Source organism: Homo sapiens, chromosome 20 (assembly GCF_000001405.40).
Source record: "Homo sapiens chromosome 20, GRCh38.p14 Primary Assembly".
Classification (NCBI taxonomy): Eukaryota; Metazoa; Chordata; class Mammalia; order Primates; family Hominidae; genus Homo; species Homo sapiens.
Genome location: NC_000020.11, coordinates 30,917,343 through 30,928,429, shown reverse-complemented (window position 1 = coordinate 30,928,429; position 11,087 = coordinate 30,917,343). Strand labels below are relative to the sequence as shown.

Here is an 11,087-nt window from a genome sequence, read left to right as displayed (position 1 = left end):
TGGGAAGATATTTCCTTATTCACCATAGACCTAAAAATGCTCCAATTATGCATTTGCAGATTAGGCAAAAAGAGTGTTTCCGAAATGCTCAACTCTTTGAGATGAAAGCACTCATTGAAAAGAAGTTTCTCAGAAAGCTTCCGTCTAGCTTTATGTGAAGGTATTTCCTATATCACCAAAGGCCTCAATGGGCTCAGAAATATCCCTTTGGGGATTCTACAATAGGACTGTTTCCAAACTGCTCTAGAAAAAGAAAGCTTCAACTCTGTGAGATGAATGTACCCATCACAAAAAAGTTTCTCAAAATGTTTCCGTGTAGTTTTTATGTTAAGATATTTCCTACTTCACCATAGGCCTCAAAGGGTTCACAATTATCCCTTCGTAGATTTTACAAAAAGACTGTTTCCCAATCTTCAATCAAAGAAATGTTCAACTGTGTGAGATGGATGCAAACATCACAAAGAAGTTTCTCAGAATGCTTCCGTCTAATTTTTATGTGATGATATTTCCTTTTTTACCATAGGCCTCAAAGTGCTCCAAATATCCATTTGCAGATTCTACAAAAAGAGTGTTTCCAAACTGCTCAATCAAAAGAAAGGTTCAACTCTGTGAGATGGAAGCACACATCACAAAGGAGTTTCTTAGAAACCTTCTGTCTAGTTTTTATGGGAAGATATTTCATATTTCACCATAGGCCTCAATGGGCTCAGAAATATACCTTTGCAGATTCTACAAAAGGATTGTTTCCAAACTGCTCTATCCAAAGAAAGGTTCAACACTGTGAGATGAATTCACACATCACAAAGAAGTTTCTCAGAAAGCTTCTGTCTAGTTTTTATGTGAAGATATTTCCTTTTTCACCATAGGCCTCAAATCGCTCGCAAACATCCCTCTACAGATACTACAAAAAGACTGTTTCCAAAGTGTTCAATCAAAAGAAAGGTATAACTCTGTGTGATAAATGCACACATCACCAAGAAGTTTCTCAGAATGCTTCTATCTAGTTTTTATGTGAAGATATTTCCATTCTCACCAAGGCCTCAAAATGCTCCAAATATCCATTTGCAGATTCTACAAAAAGATGGTTTCCAAACTGTTCAATGAATAGAGAGGTTCAACTCTGTGAGATGAAAGCACACATCACAAAGAAGTTTCATAGAATGTTGCTTTCTAGTTTTTATGTGAAGATATTTCCTTTTTCACCATAGTCCTCAAAGTGCTCTAAATATCCATTTGCAGATTCTACAAAAAGTGTGTTTCCAAACTGCTCATTCAAAAGAAAGGTTCAACTCTGTGAGATGAAAGCACACATCACAAATAAGTTTCTCAGAAATCTTCTGACTAGTTTATATGTGAAGATATTTCCTAATTCACCACAGACCTCAATGGGCTCACAAATATCCCTTTGCATATTCTACAAAAGGACTGCTTTGAAACTGCTCAATCATAAGAAAGGTTCAACTCTGTGATATGAATGCATACATCACAAAGAAGTTTCTCAGAATGCTTCTGTGTAGTTTTTAGGTGAAGATATTTCCTTTTTCACCATAGGCCTCAAAGAGTTCCAAATATCCATTTGTGTATTCTACAAAAAGACTTTCCAAACTCCTCAATCAAAAGAGAGGTTCAACTCTGTGAGATGAAAGCACACTTGACAAAGAAGTTTCTCAGAATGCTTCTGTCTAGTTTTTATGTGAAGATATTTCCTATTTCACCTTAAGCCATAAAGGGCTCACAAATATCCCTCTGCAGATTCTAGAAAAGGACACTTTCCAAACTGCCCAATCAAAAGAAAGTTTCAACTCTGTTAGATGAATGCACACATCACAAACAAGTTTCTCAGAAATCTTCTGACTAGTTTATATGTGAAGATATTTCCTAATTCACCACAGGCCTCAATGGGCTCACAAATATCCCTTTGCATATTCTACAAAAGGACTGCTTTGAAACTGCTCAATCATAAGAAAGGTTCAACTCTGTGAAACGAATGCATACATCACAAAGAAGTTTCTCAGAATGCTTCTGTGTAGTTTTTAGGTGAAGATATTTCCTTTTTCACCATAGGCCTCAAAGCACTCTAAATATCCATTTGCATATTCTACAAAAAGACTGTTTCCAAACTCCTCAATCAAAAGAGAGGTTCAACTCTGTGATATGAATGCATACATCACAAAGAAGTTTCTCATAATGTTTCTGTCTAGTTTTTAGGTGAAGATATTTCCTTTTTCACCATAGGCCTCAAAGCGCTCCAAATATCCATTTGCATATTCTACAGAAAGACTGTTTCCAAACTCCTCAATCAAAAGAGAGGTTCCACTCTGTGAGATGAAAGCACACTTGACAAAGAAGTTTCTCAGAATGCTTCTGTCTAGTTTTTATATGAAGATATTTCCTATTTCACCTTAGGCCATAAAGGGCTCACACATATCCCTCTGCAGATTCTAGGAAAGGACTCTTTCCAAACTGCCCAATCAAAAGAAAGGTTCAACTCTGTTAGTCGAATGCACACATCACAAAGAAGTTTCTCAGAAAGCTTCTGTCCAGTTTTTAAGTGAAGATATTTCCCTTTTCACCATACCTATCAAAGCGCTCAAAATATCCCTTTGCAGATTCTCTGAAAAGACTGTTTCCAAACTTCTCAATCAAAAGAGTGGTTCAACTCTGTGAGATGAATGCACATATCACAAAGAACTTTCTCTGAAATCTTCTGTCTAGTTTTTATGTGAAGATATTTCCTTTTTCACCACAGGCCTAAAGCCACTCACAAATATCCCTTTGCAGATTTTACAAGAACAGAGTTTCCAGACTCATCAAAGAATAGAAACTTTTATCTCTCTGAGATGAGTGCACATCTTGCAAAACAGCTTCTCAGAAACATTCTTTATAGTTTTTATTGAAGATATTTCCTTTTTCACCATAGGCCTCATAGAGCTGACAAATATCCCTTTGCAGATTCTACAAAAAGTCTGTTTACAAACTGCTCAATCAAAAGAATGGTTCAACACTGTGAGATAAATGCACACATCACAAAGAGGTTTCTCAGAAATCTTCTATCCAGTTTTTATGTGAAGATATTTCCTTTCTCACCATAGGCTTCAAAGTGCTCATAAATATCCCTTTGCAGATTCTACAAATAGACAGTTTTCAAACTGCTCAGCCAAAAGACAGTTTCAACTCTGTGAGATGAATGCACACAGACAGGGAGGTTTCTCAGAGAGCTTCTGTCTATTTATTATGTGAAGGTATTTACTTTTTCACCAAAGGCCTCAAAGCGCTCACAAATATCTCCTTGCAGATTCTACAAGAACAGAGTATCCAAACTGATTAATCAAAAGAATGCTTCACATAAAATCCCTAGAAGAAAACCTAGGAAATACCATTCAGGGCATAGGCATGGGCAAGGACTTCATGTCTAAAACACCTAAAGCAATGGCAACAAAGCCACAATTGACAAATGGGATCTAATTAAACTAAGGAGCTTCTGCACAGCTAAAGAAACCACCATCAGAGTGAACAGTCATCCTACAGAATGGGAAAAAATTTTTGCAACCTACTCATCTGAGAAAGGTGAAGGTATTTACTTTTTCACCAAAGGCCTCAAAGCGCTCACAAATATCCCTCTTCAGATTCTACAAAAACACCATTTCCTAACATTTCAATCAAAAGAATGGTTTAACTCTTTGAGATGAATGCACACGTCACAAAGTAGTTTCTCAGAAAGCGTCTGTCTAGTTTTTATGTGAAGATATTTCCTTTTTCACCATAGGCCTGAAAGCACTCACAAATACCACTTTGCAGATTGTACAAGAACAGAGTTTCCAGACTCATCAAAGGAATGAAATGTTCAACTCAGTGAGATGAATGCACACATCACAAAGCAGTTTCTCAGAAACCTTCTTTATAGTTTTTATGTGAAGGTATTTCCTTTTTCACCATGGCCTCAAAGCACTCACAAATATCCCTTTGCAGATTGTACAACAACAGAATTTCCAAACTGCTCATAATTAGTTTTTAGGACCAACATGAGCATTTAGACACACTGCTTGTGGTGCAGCACACATGTATTATCCACACTGAAATTAGGAATTCAACTGAAGTTCATATGGAGCCGAAAATGTGAATATTTGGGGGACCTTGGAGATGATCTAGCTCACTTCATTTTGTAGAAAAGAAAACAGATTCAGGGAAAGGGCATGCATTGCCTAAGGTGATTCAACAGCTTTGGCACAGAAACACAACACATCTAAGGTGATTCATCAGGTTTGGAGCAGAAATGCAATACAATTTCTGTTCTTTTGCTTCTCAGATCCAGAATTTTTTCACAATACTGAACTACTTATGTTTCTGATTCCTTATTTTTTATTTCTAAATTATGCCAGTATTGTCTGACGAAGATCCTATTCTTTACCCTAAATATTTAAATTCATTACCACTATTGTCTCTTTATAAGTAAAATTACTAGTTGTTATTATAAATGATTATTCAATCACTTTTCATTTTTGGGGGGTTTAGTACAAATTTAGTAACAAGTAAACACTATTGGCCTTGGCAATCCAAGAGGAGCTCAAGTCCTCCAGGGCACATCAGGAAAAGGCTAAATGACAGCTGTGCTGGGAGTGGACAGAATACAGCTCTCATACAGACTATTGAGTATTTGATGTTCTTCAACAATTTCATTAATCTTCAGTATTTTTCCTCTTTGAAGTGAAAGTCTGCTATGACTTTCAACTTTCTTTTGAAATAATTATAGATTCACAGGAAGTTGCAAAAGGTACAGGGATGTCTTAGGTACTATTCACTAATTCCAGTGGTGACATCTCACATAGCCATAGAGCATTATCAAAACCTGGAAACTGACATAGGTACAATTCAGAAAGCTTACTCAGATCGCAACCGTTTTGCATGCATTCATTTTTGTACGTGTGTATGTGTGTGCGTGTGTTCTGTTCATTTTTGTGTGGTGTAGATCTCTGCAACTACCACTTCCAAAGTCAAGATGCAGAACTGTTGCCTCACCACCAGGCTCCAACTTGCGATCTTTGCTGACACTCTGACACGTTTTCCTCCACCCCTTCCCCTTGGCAACCCCATAGCCTGTTCTCAATCTTTACAATTTTATTTCAATAATTTATATAAATGTAATTGTACAAAATCGTATTTTTTAAGGGAAAAAACAAGTCACAGATAGTTTTGTTAGCACTGTAAAATAGTCTTTAACATTCATTTGTTTTATGTTCTATTTGTCTCAAAAAAATGTCCTTTGTTCTTTCCCATACTTTCTGATATCAGGATAGGAAATCAATACCAAACAAAACATTTCCATTCATTTTTTTCCACAGCTTGGTTTTCACTGTTGTTGCCTAACATTTATTGTTGCATTTACTCTTTCTCTCTGTTTTCCATCACATAAAAGTAACTTTGTGTTCTTTATCTCTTCTAAGAAAACTTGGTAATAAGCCTTTAATGTGACGCCTGGACCACCCTTGTTTTGATTTTGTGTTATGGGTATTCTTTTGTGTGATCGTTCTCATGGAGAGCCCTTGTGAAGCTGGGCTTTTCCAGTGGTTTGTCAAAATGGAAATAGATATTTAACAAACCAAACACAAAATGACCTTGCTCCAGGAATGCATCATTTCTGAGAAAACACTACCTCTTCCAACTAGAGATTGTGAATATTACTCATATTATCCTTTACTCCCTTTTATTAAAATTGTATTTTTTTTTTTTACACATTTGTATAACTCGGGTAATGAAATGTGAAACTAAGCGATTGCCTACCAATTACAATTGATGTTAATGATGCTACTGGGAGGCCACCCCTACAGTCGCTGCGCCGAGTTTAGGGACTTGCTAGCTTTGCTAAGTTACATGGGATTTCCTACGTACTAAACGGAGGTGGGGGACGGGTCCGAGGACGTGGCGGCGCCTCCCTGCCCTGACGTGGAAGCTACAGACCGGGCCCCAGGCACCGCGCGGCCGAGAGCCGGAGGCGGGCGCGCAATGGCGGACGACACCGCAGCATTCAGCGAGTCACCGCCAGGGGCACGCGAACCCCAGGACCGCGGCCACGAGCGCTGTCAGACGGGCCGCGTGGCGGGCTTCCGGCCCCGGACACAACCGCGACGCGCGCCGGGTAGACAGGGTCGGGCGGGCGAGGAGGACTGTGCCTCAGAGGGGTGTTGGGGAGGAGGGGCGCTGGAGCGGCTGTGGGCCGGTCGCCGGGCCGCCACCAGGGGCGGCGACGAACCGGGGCGACCGGGACGCCCTCCCCCACCCTCTCCGGACCCTTCCTACTTGCCTTCCTCCCCCCGCCCCCAACAAGCCCTCACTACCCACGACGCGCGACGACGACGGCACGGGACCTTCCACCCCTCCAGGGCCAACGAACCCTGCACCACGAGCTGCGTAAGGCACGAGGGAGGCCCCGAGGGAGGAACCCGGACCGCGGTGGTGGCCACGGGAACTCGGCCCCAGCCGGCTCTCTTCACTCTCTGTTTTCGCGGGTGGCAGCACTGCCCTCTCTCTCTTCCTCACAGCAGGGAGCCCCCCTTCCCCATGCCACCCAATGCGTGACCACACAGGGCCTGCGGGGGGAGGGAGAAGGGGCGGGCATGGCAGCAGAGGAGGGCAGACATCGCCGGTCTGCACTTGGGGGGACGGAGGGCCCCAGCAGGCCACGCCAGGGAACCCCCAGCCGTGCACCCCGAGGAACCCGGAGGCACCCCCAGGGACCAGCCTCCTTTCTCCTAGGCAAAGCACCTCCAAGTAAATCCACACACACACACAACCTGTCGGAGGCAGAACGGTAGCCCATCAGCGGCCGGCCGGCGCACGCCTCACCTGCCCAAGCCCACCGCGATCGCTCACACGGCCCGCGCGCACCAGCCAGAGGGGATCACGGGACCTGCGCTCGCCAGACCAGGCGGCGCCCTTCCCCGCGTGGCAGGGGCACTTCTCACTCAACCGCCTCGACCGCCACACCAACGAGCTCCCTCAGGACCCACTCCCAGACAACACGGCGGCGACCAGAGGAGGGGGCGCTGGGGGTGGGAACCACACACCACAGCTGGACTTCGGGCACCTGAGTGATAAGCTGTTGGGGGAACGGGTGGAGCCGGGTGCGGTAGGCTCACGCCTGTCATCCCCGCACTTTGGGAAGCGAGGGAAGGTGGATCCCTGGATCCAAGCCTTGGCAACATGGTGAAACCTCGTCTCTAAAAAAATACAAAAACTAACTGGTTTCACAACCTGGACTCAAAGTTAATAAATAGATAAATAGGCCGGGCGTGGTGGCTCACGCCTGTCATCCCAGCACTTTGGGCGGGATCCGAGGTGGGCGGATCACGGGGGTCAGGAGATCGAGACCATCCTGGCTACCACAGTGAAACCCCGTCTCTACTCAAAATACAAAAGATTAGCCAGGCGCGGTGGCGGGCGCCTGTAGTCCCAGCTACTTGGGAGGCTGAGACAGGAGAATGGCGTGAACCCGGGAGGCAGAGCTTGCAGTGAGCCGACATCACGCCACAGCACTCCAGTCTGGGCAACAGAGCGAGACTCTGTCTCAAAAAAATAATAATAATAATAAAGAGATCAAAATTGAAAATTTAAAAAAAAAAAAAAACGTAACTGGCCGGGCGCAATGGCTCACGCCTGTCATCCCAGCACTTTGGGAGGCCGAGGTGGGCAGATCACCTGAGGTGGCCAGTTCGAGACCCTCCTGACCCACATGGAGAAATGCCGTCTCTACTAACAATACAAAATCAGCCGGGTGTGGTGGCCCATGCCTGTAATCCCAGCTACTTAGGAGGCTGAGGCAGGAGAATCTCTTCAGCACGGGAGGTGGAGGTTGCAGTGAGCCGAGATGGTGCCATTGCACTCCAGCTTGGGCAACAAGAGTGAAATTCCGTCCCCCACCAAAAAAAAAAAAAATTAAGCGCAGTATTCTGTTATTTTTGCTTCCTACCCTGAGAAGAACATAATACAGCTGTTGTCTGTCTGCCTGCCTGCCTGTGACAGGGCCTCACTCTGTCTTTCCCCCAGACTGGAGTGCAGTGACACCATTATGGCTCACTCACTGCAGCCTCAACCTCCACAGGGTTCGGCGATTCCTCAAGGGATCCTACAGCCTCAGCCTCCCAAAGTGTTGGGGTTACAGGCGTGAGCCACCAGCACCAGGCCTGAGTTAATATATCTGGTCTCACTACGTCTTAACGACACACCCATGAAGAACTCAAGTCAAGAGAGAGTCGGTAAGAGACTCAGCATTCTCTCCCGAAAGCAGTGAGGTGGATGGCGGCTTGTGTCCCGAGCTCCTGTGGTTTCAGTTGGCCGCGCGTAGAGGAGAGATTTCCAATGTTTCCAGAGAGGTCCGAGCCACAGTCATTCGGGGCATCCGAGGACGAGATGGGGTTTCTGACAGCGACTTAAGTGCCAGGAAGGGTCAGAATCTGCCAAGGCCCGTGTCCCAGGGTGGGGCCGAAGGAACCCAAGGTAGAGGGAGTCAGCGGTCCGCACAGAGAGAGCTCCAGCCCTAGGCCCCACTGTGCAGACCCAATCAGAAGAAGAGAGTCCTTCATCCTATATGCCACATCCCTCCACTGAACTTGGGAGCGGATCCGTTTTCCAAACATGAGGTGACTCTCGCTTTGCGATGGATCACAGGGGGCCGGGCTTTCCACAGTTGGCAGGGTAAAGAAGTCATTCTGGCTCGGCCTCCCCCATCCCCTGGTAACTGGTGAGTTTAAATGAGCTGAGGCTGGCTTTGCCGGAGCCGCTACCGGGGGGAGGGGTGTGGGCGGGGTGGGGGGCTGCCCGCGGCACTGCAGAAAGTGGGCCTGAGCCTCGAGGATGATGGTGCTACAGGAACCCGTCCAGGCTGCTACATGGCAAGCACTAAACCACTATGCTTACCGAGATGGGGTTTTCCTCGCAGAACGCCTTTATGCAGAAGTACACTCAGAAGAAGCCTTGTTTTTACTGGCGACCTGTTCTTACCGCCCAGGAAAGACCTATAAAGCATATAGACTCTTGAAAGGACACAGTTGTCCTACACCACAATGCAAATACCTGCTTGCAAAATGTTGTTTTGATGTCAGCAAGCTTGCAGAAGGGGAACAAATCTTATCTGGTGGAGTGTTTCATAAGCAGAAAAGCCATGATGATATTGTTACTGAGTTTGGTGATTCAGCTTGCTTTCCCCTTCCATTGTTGGGACATGTATATTGCAAGACAGATCGGCTTGCCAAAGGATCAGAATGCTACCAAAAGAGCCTTAGTTTAAATCCTTTCCTCTGGTATCCCTTTGAATCATTATGTGAAATAGGTGAAAAGCCAGATCCTGACCAAACATTTAAATTCGCATCTTCACAGAACTTTAGAAACTGTCTGCCCAACTCTTGCAAAGCACAAGTACCTAATCATAGTTTATGTCACAGACAGCCTGAGACCATTCTTACAGAAACACCCCAGAACACAACTGAATTAAACAGATTGAATTTAGAATCTGCCAATTCAAAGTACTCCTTGAATACAGATTCCCCAGTGTCTTCTATTGATTCAGCTGTAATTTCATCTGATACTGTCCCACTGGGAACAGGAACTTCCATATTATCTAAACAGGTTCAAAATAAACCAAAAACTGATCGAAGTTTATTAGGAGGACCAGCATCTCTTAGTCCATTAACCCCAAGTTTTGGGATTTTGCCATTAGAAACCCCAAGTCCTGGAGTTGGATCCTATTTACAAAACTACACTAATACAGCTTCTGTAATGGATGTGACATCCACTGGAGTCCCTCCAAAAAAGTCTGTTGCCAGAATAGTCCAAATTGGAGCAAAGTCTGTCTTCTCACAGAGTGGAAATAGCCAAGAGGTAACTCCAATTCTTGCACAAACAGAAAGTTCTGGTCCATAAATAAGTACAACACCTCAGGTATTGAGCCCCACTATGACATCTCCCTCAAATGCACTGCATCGAAGAAGTTCACGACTCTTGACTAGTGACAGTTCCACAACCAAGGAGAATAGGAAGAAATTAAAAATACAGTTTCCACCTAAAATCCCAAACAGAAAAACAAAAAGTAAAACTAATAAAGGAGGAATAACTAAACCTAATATAAATGACAGCCTGGAAATAACAAAATTGTACTCTTCCATCATTTCAGAAGGGAAAATATCCACAATCACACCTCAGATTCAGGCTTTTAATCTACAAAAAGCAGCAGCAGAAGGCTTGATGAGCCTTCTTCGTGAAAGGGGGAAAGGTTATTTAGCTTTGTGTTCATACCACTGCAAAGAAGCTATAAATATTTTGAGCCATTTACCTTCTCACCACTACAATACTGGTTGGGTACTGTGCCAAATTGGAAGGGCCTATTTTGAACTTTCAGAGTACATGCAAGCTGAAAGACTATTCTCAGAGGTTAGAAGGATTGAGAATCATAGAGTGGAAGGCATGGAAATCTACTCTACAACACTTTGGCATCTTCAAAAAGATGTTGCTCTTTCATTTCTGTCAAAAGACTTAACAGACATGGATAAAATTTCGCCAGAGGTCTGGTGTGCTGCAGGGGACTGTTTCACTCTGCAACGGGAACACGATATTGCAATTAAATTCTTTCAGAGAGCTATCCAAGTGGATCCAAATTATGCTTATGTCTATACTCTATTAGGGCATGAGTTTGTCTTAACTGAAGAATTGGACAAAGCATTAGCTAGTTTTTGAAATGTTATCAGAGTCAATCCTAGATATTATAATGCACGGTAAGTGGTAATGAAGTGTAAAGACAAAGTCTTGTTGATGGTGCTGGTAGTCACTAATTTTTCTTGTTAGATAGCTCTTTATTGTCATGAATTTGGCTACTAATACTTAGGGATGGTACATACTGGTCAATAACTTCAAACTAACACGCTTTCTTATGAAATGTATGTCTTTAACAAACTCTTAAGTTAACTAATGATAATAGAATACCAGATCCTCATACTCAAGAGTTTCAGTCTTCTACCAAACTTTTGCAGATGCTCTAGTTGTGTTTTGTTTGTTTGTTTGCTTGTTTAGTTTTGTTACTTGATTTGTTACTTTTTCTTCGA

The 11,087-nt window shown here is 43.6% G+C and overlaps 1 pseudogene; it reads left to right on the top strand.

The window, feature by feature from the left end:
* The first annotated feature begins 8,847 nt into the window (after positions 1–8,847).
* On the top strand, positions 8,848–10,764 carry CDC27P5 (cell division cycle 27 pseudogene 5; annotated as a pseudogene).
* Positions 10,765–11,087: the final 323 nt, after the last annotated feature.